This window comes from Homo sapiens, chromosome 7 (assembly GCF_000001405.40).
Source record: "Homo sapiens chromosome 7, GRCh38.p14 Primary Assembly".
In the NCBI taxonomy this organism is placed as follows: domain Eukaryota; kingdom Metazoa; phylum Chordata; class Mammalia; order Primates; family Hominidae; genus Homo; species Homo sapiens.
Window position 1 is genome coordinate 124,837,527 of NC_000007.14, and position 13,055 is coordinate 124,850,581.

The 13,055-nt window shown below is 33.7% G+C and overlaps 1 protein-coding gene across 5 annotated transcripts in view; it reads right to left on the minus strand.

Annotated features, from left to right (window-relative positions):
* POT1 (protection of telomeres 1) overlaps positions 1-13,055 on the minus strand; it is a 107,440-nt gene that overhangs the window by 15,141 nt on the left and 79,244 nt on the right. For 4 of the 5 annotated variants that reach the window (NR_003103.2, NR_003104.2, NM_001042594.2 and 1 more), the window contains 3 exons: positions 9,416-9,472; positions 5,281-5,437; positions 3,447-3,652 (listed from right to left, as the gene is read on the minus strand). Coding sequence is in view for 2 of the 5 variants with exons in the window: in NM_001042594.2 (NP_001036059.1) it covers positions 3,447-3,652; positions 5,281-5,437; positions 9,416-9,472 (420 nt within the window). In the remaining 3 variants the exon portion in view is untranslated. Of the gene's footprint in view, positions 1-3,446; positions 3,653-5,280; positions 5,438-9,415; positions 9,473-11,013; positions 11,134-13,055 lie in introns of all 5 variants that reach the window. The other variant, NR_003102.2, reaches the window with a different exon arrangement.

Consider the following 13,055-nt stretch of genomic DNA (forward strand, 5'->3'; position numbering starts at 1 on the left):
GAGAAACAGATAATCTGAATAGGTCTATGTCTATAGAGAAATTAAATCAATAATAATAATCTTGAAAAAAGTCACCAGGCTCAGATTGTTTCAATAGCTAAGTCTACCCAAACACTGAAATGACACTAATTCTCTACTATGTATTCCAGAAAATGGAAGTAGAGGGAATGTTTCCTAACTCTTATGAGGCCAGCAATATTCTAATACATAACCAAATACATTACAAGAATGAAGACCTATTGATCAACTTCTCTTAAGAAAACACATAAAAAAATACTCAGAAAGTATTTAAAAATTGAATCAAAAAAGAAAATAATTATTCACCATGACCAAATGAGATTTATTTTAGGTAGGCAAGGCTGGTTAAACACCTCAAAATCAATTAATGTAATTTATCACATTAATAGGCTAAAGAAGAAAAATTGTATGATCATATTAATAGATGCAATAGAAAAAGCATTTGATAAAATCCAACATCATTAATAATAAAAATTCTCAGCAAACTAGGAATATTGGGGAACTTCTTCAACTTGATAAAGAACATCGATAAAATAGCCACAGCTAAAATTACATTTAATGGTGACACTTTCCACCTAAGACTGGGATAAAAGCAAGAACATTCCCTCTCATTGCTCCTATTCAATATTGTACTGGAAGCCCTATCTAATGCAGTAAGAAAAGGAAACAAAAGGTATACATATTAGGAAGGAAGAAATAAGCTGTCTTTGTTTACAGGAAATCACAACAAAAAAATTCCTGAAATAACAAGCAATTATAGCAACGGTAGAGGATACAAGGTTAATTAAAAAAAAAATCAATTGCTTCCCTATACATAAGCAATAAATAATCAAAGTTTGAATTTAACATTAAATAATTAGCACCAAAAAAGAAAATACTTAGATATAAAGCTAACAAAATGTGATCTATATTTTGTTGGATTTATAAGGTTTATCTGAGTAAAACTATAAAACCCTAGTTAAAGGGATCTAAGAAGATCTACATAGAAAGATAGTCCATGTTCATCGTCAATAACATCAAGTTGTTAGTTCTCTGTCTCCACCGTGACTTATAGATTATGGCAATCTTTTTTTTTTTTGAGATGAAGTTTCGCTCTTGTTACCCAGGCTGGAGTGCAATGGCGCGATCTCGGCTCACCGCAACCTCCGCCTCCCGGGTTCAAGCCATTCTACTGCCTCAGCCTCCCGAGTAGTTGGGATTACAGGTATGCACCATGATGCCTGGCTAATTTTGTATTTTTAGTAGAGACAGGGTTTCTTCATGTTGGTCAGGCTGGTCTCGAACTCCCGACCTCAGGTGATCTGCCTGCCTCGGCCTCCCAAAGTGCTAAGATTACCAGAGTGAGCCACTGCGCCCAGCTGGCAATCTTAATAAAAATCCCAGCAAGTTATTTTTGGATATTGACAAACTGATTATAAAGTTTACATGGAAATGCAAAAGATTTACAATAGCCAACACAATACTCAAGAAAAAGAAGAAAGTTGCAGGACAAACACTACACAATTTCAAGAATTACTATATAGCTTTAGAAATAAGGATGGTGTGATATTAGGAAAATAACAGACAGATTAAAACAGAATAGAGAACACAGAAGCAAATTCACACAAACTGGTTTGACAAAGAAGCAAAGGCAATTCAATGGAGAAGGAACAGTCTTTTTAAGAAATGGTACTGGAAAACTGGACATCTGCATGCAAAAAAAAATCTGGACACAGATCTTAGAGCTTTTACAGAAATTAAGTGATACTGTTTTATATGAGACTCTAATGGTGGGTACATGGTATTCTGCATTTGTCAAAACATAAAGAACTGTAAAGCAGAATGAGTGAACCCTAATGTAAACTATGGTCACAATAAAATAGTGTCAACTGCATTAACTTGGCATGAATATCAGTGAATACTGCTGCAGGTCCTTAAAGTCTAAGAATGACTTTGTATTTATATCGTTTTCTTTGGTTCATCTCTAAGTCCAGGTCAGTTTTTGATTTTGTTACTTCCTAACCAGAGCAGTGCCATACTGCAGTAAGATCCTAGCCCTTGGTCCAGGTTATAATACTTAGAAACATAAAATAAAAATAGCTCACATTTCTTATATTCCTTTTACATTTCAAAGTGCTTTTACATACATTCTCATTATTTTTTTAAATAAGCCTTTTTTAAAAAGCAGTTTTAGGTTCACTGCAAAATTAAGCAAAAGGTACAAAGTTTCCCTATGTCCCCTAGCCTCTTCCCCATTATCAACATCTTGCACCAGAGTGGTAAATTTAGTCAATCAAGAAACCTATTTTAAAAAACCATTATCACTCAAAGTCCACAGTTTACATTAGTAACAAACCATTATCACTCAAAGTCCACACTTTACATTACTAACAAACCATTATCACTCAAAGTCCAGTCTATATTAGGGTTTACTCTCAGTGTTGTACATTCTATGTTTTCTTTTTAAGACTTCATTTTTTTTTTTTTTAAGGAGCAGTTTTAGGTTCACAGCAAAATTAAGAGGAAGGTACAGAGATTTTCCGTATCCCCTTCTACCATACATGCTAGCCTCCTCCAGTATCAACATCCTCTACCAGCGTGGTACATTTGTTAAAAATGAACCTATACTGACACATAATCACCCAAAGTCTATAATTTACATAGAATTCCCTCATTTATTAAAAATAAAGTTAAATATTACTCTAAGGCAAATTAAAGAAGGTATTTTTCTTCTATTACAAAAGGTTTCAAGGGAAGAAAAGCCTTCAGAAAAACAATGAAAAGGTTTCAAGGGAAGGAAAGCCTTAAGAAAAACAATGAAAAGGTTTCAAGGGAAGGAAAGCCTTAAGAAAAACAATGAAAAGGTTACAAGGGAAGAGAAGCCTTAAGAAAAACTCTAAATTTGCCATGAAAAAAAATTCACAGTACATATTTTAGATAAATGAGATAAAAATTAGATGAAAATGAAAAGAAAATGAAAAACCAAACATGATAAATTTCATTTAAAACTTGTCAAGTTATCTTTACTTGTTTCAATGGTCTCTTCTTTGATTTTGATACAATAGATGACTTTCACCCTATTTCTATGAAACAACAGTGACATCCAGAGGCCAAGAAAACAGCAATGGTACATAAGCAATCAGCCTCTTTTATTATTACTTAACTAGACAATCAGCTTAGCATTGACAAAATAAAATGCAATCCAACAATATAGTTAAATGTTAACACTTGAGTCTGAAGTACAATTTCAAATGTAATTAAGATAAATTTATGAACGTGTGCTTATATATATTTGAACCTAGTTAACATATATATTCAATTTTGTTAAATTTAAATACTATTTTTACTTTATATGTACTAGGTTGTCTGTAAAATGTATTAAACAATAATTAATTAGGAAAAATATGCAAAAGGAGTATTCTAACAAAACAGTGACTTAAATATCTTACCTTCTATCAAAAGTAGACATTCATTTGAAAGCGGGAGAATACCATTATTTTTCACAAAATGAACTGCTACTTTTCGTCCTTTTTGATTTTTAGTGGTCCAGATTTTTGAATCATATAATGATGTATTTTGTAGCTTGACATCTGGGGTTTTAGTTGCACCATCCTGAAAAATTATATCCAAATCGCCCTCATGTGGAACTTCTTGCCTAAAATTATTGGCAATGAAATGATAGAAATCGATTTTGGTGTAAGCGTGAAGATTTCCATTTAACAAGTTATCAAATTAAAAAGTATCATTCTTACATGTAGATGAGTCAGTTACTTTTTCTTAAATTATGTAAATTATGGAGATAATTCACTTTGCAGAACAAATAACTTTTTTTCAATAGATAATTATTTGATATTTTGTGGGTAAGTATATCCAAATCATATTTACATTAACTACCAGTGATTTCTATGCCTGGTTTTGTGATACAAAGTTACTCATAATTATTTCTAGCATCAATTTTTTTCTCCTCTGTAAAGAATGCTAAATTTCCCAGTAGGAGAAAAAAATGCAGTGGCCCCGTCTTCACTCCAGTTAAATATCCACTTACCACACTTAGGGAGAAGGGCACTTCTAAACTAATAATATTTCCAATTCTGTTTAATAATTAATAATTTTAAGAAGTCATATGGTTAGGTACCATGTAGCAGAAATGGCATCATTTGGAATCAAAAGGTGTATGGCTTTCTTCTGGTTCTGTTGCCAGTTAACTGTGTAACTTTAGACAGTTTCCGTTAATTTCTGAGATAATATCCTTATTTGTTTAAAAAATGATCGCGGAGAGTGGTTTTATTTTACAAAGCTGTATGATTTTACAAAATTCAATAAACCAAAGTTTGATAATATTTGAAGAATTATCTAAAATCCTTATATATACATTTTAATCCCAACCACCATTTCAAGCTCAAATGGGTAAAAACAGTTCCCTCACATTTTATTTAAAGAGATTTTAAAATAAAAAATTTCTTCAAACAAACCCAAATTTTGGATTGGAAAATATATGTATATTAATGAACACAGATACTCACAATTTATAAGCACACAAATACATGGCGATGTACATAGATATTTACACATTGTAGCACATTTTAGTGAAGACTCAATTTAGGGCATCCAAATGCATATAACCATCAATTATCTACATTTTCCAAAACATCATTTTAGATATTCAGAGGAAAAGTAGGCAAATTGCAAAAAGATGAGGAGCTTTTAAAAATGATTTTCAGAATATGTCTTGAGCCGATTATGTAGTAAAAGGATTACAAAACAGTTATATACATTTATTACATATTTATATAATCACTGATGTTCAGAGTAAAGGCACTGAGAAATTCTCAATTACTAAAGAAAATTTAAATTATATTTATTATATTCTAGTTATTAAGCAGGACAGAAGTTTACCAACAAGGCTCTCTTTATCACTTAATTAGATATTTCAAGTAATTACAACTCCTTTCAAAAATTTCAGTTAATAAAGGTTTATATTTCAGAAGATACTTCTGTGACAAATGAGTCTGCCCAAATATATTCATCATTTATTATTTCTCATTTGCCTTTATCAGAGTGACTAAGCTGAATTTTAGATCTGAAAATAGCACCCACTTTTATTACTATCAGAATAATTTATTCTCTAAGAATTTAGCACTTTACCTAAAAAATTTACCATTCTTGCAAAATATAATATATATATTAACAATTTACTTATTCCTAAGACACAAAATTATACATATGTGTACATATACACACAAATAATATGAAAACGTTTGTTTTATTATGGAAAATACTCACAGCAAATGACATTTAGGGCAATGAAGTTTAACAGACTGAAATAGTCTTCTGGGCTTATATGACCTCAATTTTGCTCGGATGCGGTATTGTTGAGGAGCTTTTTGTTTCAAAATGGCACATAGTGGTGTCCTCTCCAAATACTGATGATCTGTAAGTACTGTAAAGAATTTTTATATTCAATCAGAATAACAAGAATCATATTTATGACATGCATCCTCCTGAACCAAATATATACTATAAAATCTAATTAATTTAAGCTCTATTAAGTGTCACTCCATGAAAGGAAGGGTTATGTCTTTATTCCCTGATGTATACCCAAGGCCCACTAGCATAGTGCCAGGCACAGTAGGTACTCAACAAATGTGTACTAAATAAACGCTGGATAATTTGGGGGAAGAAATAAGTAACTTAACTGCCTAGTAAGCATTCAAAAAAGCAAGGTTTATTTAGCTAAGAAAATATTACGCTAGGCAACCGTTTAAGTTCTAACTGGTGTCTGCCACAAAAGAATGTAACAAAACACACTTGTAAAATATTATTTGCAAATATTATTTGCAGGCTCTTGGATGTTTCAAATCAGTTACTTTTTACAGAACCATCATTATAAAATCAGATTAAGAATAGGAAGGGACATTAAGGGTGATCTAACTGTCACAGGAGTGGTGTAGTAGTGGAGAAGAGGAAGTTTGGGGAGTTGGAAGGAGGGAGTGGAGGAGGAGGGAGAGGAAAAATAAGAGGAAGTTGAGTCAAACTGGAAAAAAAACTCAGACAAAAGCATTAGGAGCAATTGCCTGGGAAATAGGTACAATAGGTCTCCTCAGCTACTTGTGGAAAGATGGCCTGGGATTGTAGTGATCAGTTTTTACTGGGAAAAAGTATAAAATTGCTGGTGACCCTTAGCTTAAGGCAACAGCTTGCTATACATTCTAGCTTAACACTTTCATGTGTTTTAGAAAAGGGAAATGATGTACAAATCTTATTAACCTCAATGGCGAAGACAATTCCTTTCAGTACTGAGCTTTAATCCAATGAAATTCTTGTTGAATTAGTTTTCCTTCAAGGAGCAAATGGCCAAGAAGGACAGAAGTTTACCAACAAGGCTCTCTGTATCACTTAATTAGATATTTCAAGTAATTACACCTCTTTTCAAATATTTCAGTTAATAAAGTTTATATTTAAGATACTTCTGTGACAAATGAGTCTGCCCAAATATATTCATCATTTATTATTTCTCACTTGCCTTTATCAGAGTGGAACATTTATTACATCAGAGTGGAACATTTATTACAGTGGAACATTTTGTTGTGGTGGCGATTGTGGTTTTTTTTTTTTTTTTTCGGAGACGGAGTTTCCCTCTTGTTGCCCAGGCTGGAGTGCAATGGTGCGATCTCTGCTCACCACAACCTCTACCTCCCAGGTTCAAGCGATTCTCCTGCCTCAGCCTCCTAAGTAGCTGGGATTACAGGCATGCACCACCACGCCCAGCTAATTTTTGTACTTCTAGTAGAAACGGGGTTTCTCCATGTTGGTCAGGCTGGCTTCGAACTCCCGTCCTCAGGTGATCTGCCCGCCTCGGCCTCCCAAAGTGCTGGGATTACGGGCGTGAGCCACTGCACCCAGCTGGTGATGCTTTTAAAAAGGCCATTGGCACCGGGCGCGGTGGCTCACGCCTGTAATCCCAGCACTTTGGGAGGCCGAGGCGGGTAGATCACGAGGTCAAGAGAGCGAGACCATCCTGGCTAACACGGTGAAACCCCGTCTCTACTAAAAATACAAAAAATTAGCCGGTGTGGTGGCGGGCACCTGTAGTCCCAGCTACTCGGGAGGCTGAGGCAGGAGAATGGCGTGAACCCGGAAGGCAGAGCTTGCAGTGAGCCAAGATAGTGCCACTGCACTCCAGCCTGGGCGACAGCGAGACTCCGCCTCAAAAAAAAAAAAAAAAAAAAAAAGGCCATTGGCAGACCTGATCAATTTAGTGTACATTGCTACACAGTGATAAGAGCAATTGCTTCAAACTCATATTTTAACCTAAAGTTTTTAACTTTTCATTTTAAAATGCTTTCAAACTTAAGGAAAATTGCAAAAACAATACAAAGACCTTCTGTATAATATTCACCAAGATTCACCAATTGTTAACATTTTTGCACATTTATCATTGTCACTGTGCCTGTCTTTATCTGTCTCTCACCACATAAATATTATTGAATCATTTGAGAATAACTACCAGACATTATGCCTCCTTTCCTCTAAATCCTCCAGTATGTATTTCAAAAGAAGACATTTTATTGACATAATTACAGGCAATTTTCAACATTAGAACATTTAACTGATTTATTACTATAATCGAATTAATTAACAAACATTACTCAAATTTCTACAATTGTCCTCAAAATGTTCTTCTTAGCATTCATTTTATTTTCAAGTCTAAGATCCAATTCTGGACCATGTATCACATTTAATTCTCATGTCTCTTTAGACTTCTTTAATGTAAAATAAGTCCTCGGCTTTTCTTTATCTTTCACAACACTGATATATTTGAAGAGTACAGCCATTTATTCTGTAGAATAAACACCAATTTGGGTGTTGTCTGGTTATTCCTCAGGCTCAGATTTAGCTTATGCATTTTTGGCAGGAATAATGCGTAAGTGATACTGTATGCTTCTCAGTGCATCACATCAAGGGGCATACAAAGTGAGTGTTTCTATTACTGTAGACCTAAACTTTATTCAGCTGGTAAAGGTAGTGTCCAATCACTTCTCTACTAAAAACTTACTGTTTCCCCCTTGTATTTAACAAGAATATACTAGAGAAAATGTAAATATCTTATTTTTCATCAAATATCCTGATAGTTTAGAATCCACAGATTCACAACTAACTCAACAATGACTATCATGGTTACAAAATGGTAGCTTTTTTTTTTCTAATTTCATTATCCCTTTTATATTTGTTATTTTACTTTAAGAAAGATATTTCCACTTAACCCCATATATTTTATTTTTCCTTTATCATCATCAACATGGGCTCATGCATTCCTGCTTTACTCAATTAGTATTATTTGTTTTGATGCTCAAATGTTCCTAGACATGTTCTATCCTAAGCCATTTGACGAGTTTCATCATTAACTGAGAACCCCCTTACTTTCTAGTACAAGGTTACTCCATACTAATCTTGTAATTCCCTTGTTCTAGTTCAGAAATCTGCTGTTTCACCAAGGAGCTCTGATTCCTTTAGAGAGAAATATTATTTATAAACCAAGATCTGAGCACCAGGTGTGCTTATGGCAACTGGAGTGCTGCTGCCTCTATGCTTTTTCATGGAGAGAGAGATAGGGTACATATGAACACACATTCATACTGACACACACACACACACACACACCCCTATAATATAAACAAATGTGTACACGTGTGAATATATGCGTATCATACATACACACAGCTACATCGACTTCTGTATTTACCTAGAAAACATGAGTACATAATGGTACCTCCAATTACAACACAACATTAAAAGATTTCATCAATCCTTCTTCCATTCACATTTGTTATCTTCCTTCTCCAATTTGAGAAATTAAAATTTTTACAATAGCACATTTAATAAATTTGTGGTTAAAAATATTTTTCTGAAAATTTTTTTTTAATCTTAGCTGATGTAGCAGAAGGAGGGTACTTGATAGACACACTATCATTACTAACATTAAATTAAAATTTTGAGGCATATTGCAAGGAGCTCCTTTATGGTACACTGTTAAATGCATCATGTGACAGGATAACTCTTCATGTAATAGTTTAAAGATATGTGTCTTTACATTGCACATTTTAAGTCATGTAACTCTAACAGAGATACATGACTTCAAATACATCATGTATTTAATGTTTAAAACATATCTGTTTTAAACATTAAGTCTGTTAGAGATAGATGACTTAAAATATGCAATGTAAAGACACGTTATCTTTATGGGTTCCATTTTATGCCAACAAGACACGGTAGAAGAAGAAAGTTAAATATGGACATATTTTAGCTTTAAAGGATATGTGTTCTACTATTAGAAAGAAATGGATTAGCTGGTAAGTGTAGAGGCAGACTTTATTATGCTCATTACTGTGCCCATCTCAAAAATGATACATAGTCTTACTTGTAGCAGATAGCTGTTGACATCTTTCTACCTCGTATAATGATACTGATCCAGAGCCTATAAAAAGGAAAAGGCAAAAAAATTAAGTCCATTACAACTTCATTGTAGAACTGAAAACAATGGAGCGTTGCTGAGAGAAACTGAAGAAAATATAAATAAATGGTGAGATATGCCACATTCATGATTTAGAAGGCTCAATATTGTTAAGATATCAATTCTCTCCAAATTAATCTGTAAATTCAGCATAATCCTTCGAAAATAGCAGAGGCTGGGGTGGGCACAGTGGCTCACGCCTATAATCCCAACACTTCGGAGGACTGAGGTGGGCAGATCACTTGAGATCAGGAGTTAGAGACCAGCCTGGCCAAAATGGTGAAACCCCATCTCTACTACAAATACAAAAATTAGCCAAGTGTGGTGCAGATGCCTGTAATCCCAGCTACTCAGCAGGCTGAGGCATGAGAATCACTTGAACCCAGGAGGTGGAGGCTGCAGTGAGCTGAGATTGTGCCATTGCACTCCAGCCTGGGCAACAGAATGAGACTCTGCCTCAAAACAACAACAAACAAACAAATAGCAGAGGCTTTATTGTAGAGATTGCAAAGCAGATGCTATCACTTATGTGGAAGTGCAGAAAATCTAGAATATTAAATAACATTTTAAAAAATAACAAAGTTGGAGAACCATGTACATGACTTCAAGACTTACTATAAACTTACAGTAATTTAAGACAACACGGTACTGGCATCAGGATTGAAAAATAGATCAACTGAATTAAATTAAATAGAGAGCCTGGAAATAAACCCACATTTACATTGTATTTTGATTTTTTACTAAAGCAGCAAAGCAATGCAAGGAGAATGCAAATGGTGCTGCAATAACTGAAAATTTAGTGTGAGGAAAATGCATACTTCACACTATACTAGTAAGCATTGAATGGGAAGCCTAGACATAAGCCCACATTTATACTCGCTTGATTTTTGACAAAGACATTGAAGCCATCTAATAGGAAAAAGGAAACAAATGATGTCATAACAACTAGAAATTCCTATCTAAAGAAAAAATGTCTACCGCATATCATGTGACTAGGCATTAAAAAGGAAACAAACTAATGATATATGCAACAATGTGATTAACTCTCAAAAACATATAGTATATACAAAAAGAGTACATATGATTCAATTTTTTCAAAGTTCTAGAACAGCAAATCTAGAGGGATTTGGGTTACACGTTTATGTATTAGTCAAAACTCATGGAGTGGTTCATAAAATGGAAAGTTGTCCATTTCACTGCTAATTTTACCTCAAAAATAAAAAACTCTAAATAACTACTAAACTCTAGCTAATTATGTTCATACCACAGTGTTTAGAAAATGTACTTATGTCTGCAACTTACTTTGAAATGTATAAAAAATATAAATTAATGAATGAAGAGGCACATAGGCCAGGCACGGTGGCTTGCACCTGTAATCCCAGCACTTTAGGAGGCCGAGGCGGGCAGATTATCTAAGGTCAGGAGTTCGAGACCAGCCTGGCCAACATGGTGAAACTGTGTCTCTACTAAAAATACAAAAATTAGCTGGGCGTGGTGGTGGGCACCTGTAATCCCAGCTACTTGGGAGGCTGAGGCAGGAGAAGCTTGAACTCAGGAGGTGGAGGCTGCAATGAGCCGAGACCGTGCCACTGAACTCCAGCCTGGAGGACGAAGCGAGACTCCATCTCAAAAGAAAAAAAAAAAAAAAAAAGAGATATGTAGAAATAAATACACGTGACAGAGCACACAAAGTAAAATAGTTATTGGAGAGTCTAGCTGGTAGTTATTTGAGTATTCATTGTACAACTGTTTTAATTCTACCATGTATGAAAGTTTTTATCATGTTGAAAAAATACAGTGTAGAGGAAATAAAAGCGGAGATGGATAAAATAGTAAACTTATGAAATTTAATAGAATGACCAAATGAACATCAAAAATAGGATTTTACTCTAACAAGAAAGCAAAAGTAGTAGTCATAGCATTAAGGTTACAAAATGCTTTCTAAAAAGAAGAACTTAAGACTTTAAAAATGTGTATTTTGTAATCACTTTAGCTTACATTCTATTATACATAACAGTACATTATGTTTTTATAATTTATTTTATAAAGCATCATACACAAACATATCCTCAATATTGCTAATAAGTGGTATAAAAATCCAAGTCAAGAGGACTTGAATGGACATCTCAAGCTGGCATGGTATAATTTCAATAAATCTAATTTAGTAATTAATATTGGCCATTACAACATGAGATGGAAATAATGGCAGAAACCATAAAAGTAGTCAAATAAGAAAATGTGTAAAACATACATGGTTGCCCACAAACTGACAAAAATATAATTCAACAGAAAATCAGATAAAGAGTAAGAGCAGAAAATCTGAGGAAGAGGGAATTAAAAACGTTTGTAAATATATAGTAAGATTTTCAAGTTTCCAAGTAGCCAGGAAAATTAAGTAAGAAAACACCTTTCACCTGCTTAACTGTCAAAAATTACATATAGTGTTAACTTCCAATACTGTGAAGGTGTGAGTAAAGTATATTCTCCTACACTGCTATTTGGATATAAATTTCTATGACCTTTGGTAAATAATCTGGCAGCATCTATTAAAAAATGTGCATAACCTTAGATACATCGACCTCACTTTTAGTTTATTGTGGAGAAGTAAAAACATGGAAGTACATATATTCAAGGATGTTTATTAAAGTATTATTTGTAAGAGCAAAAAACTGGTAACGATCTCAACATCTATTAAATGAAAAATGAAAAAAGCATAACATTATTATTATGCAACTATAATGAATTTGAGTCATATGAATTAGCCCAGAAAAAAAGATCTATAATATATTGTTGAAGAAAGCAACTATTTATTATAGTGTGATTTCATTTTGGTAAAAATTTAAGAGAAAGAGAAGAGTCATATTGTTTATATATAGGTATATATGTTTGTATAAAGATGAAGTGATTGAAGGAATCACACTAAACTGTTAAATCTTACCTCAGGGAGTAGGGAATAAAGGTATAGTGAAAGCTATTCAACTGGATATTATGACACATATTACAGTGTACTTTAAAAATAATGAATCATTTTAAAAGGAAAAAGAGATTTAAAAAGTATAAAGTATAATTACAAATTATACTGTCTCCAAGTGATTTGTCATCTGAACTAAATTGGTTTCCTAATAGTAGTTCAAGTAATCATACACCAGGCCAAAACGTTATCACGAAGTTGTTAGCATTTTAAAATAAGGAGAGTTTTAAAACAGAGAGAATGAAGAAAATAAATGTAAAGTATGTACAAAAACTCAAAAAGCCTGCACTTGAATCTGTCTTGCTTTGTCATCAGTTAACAGCTAAGTAACTATGGACAAATTATATGATATCCATCCATCAAAGCCTCAGTTTCCCATTGTTTAAAGGAGACAGAATAATTCATCTCACAGGAGTGTTGTTAGAATTAAATAATAATGCGGACGGGCGCAATGGCCTGTGCCTGTAATCCCAGCACTTTGGGAGCCCGAGGCGGGCGGATCATGAGGTCAGGAGATCGAGACCATACTGGCTAACACAGTGAAACCCCGTCTCTACTAAAAATATATATAAAAAA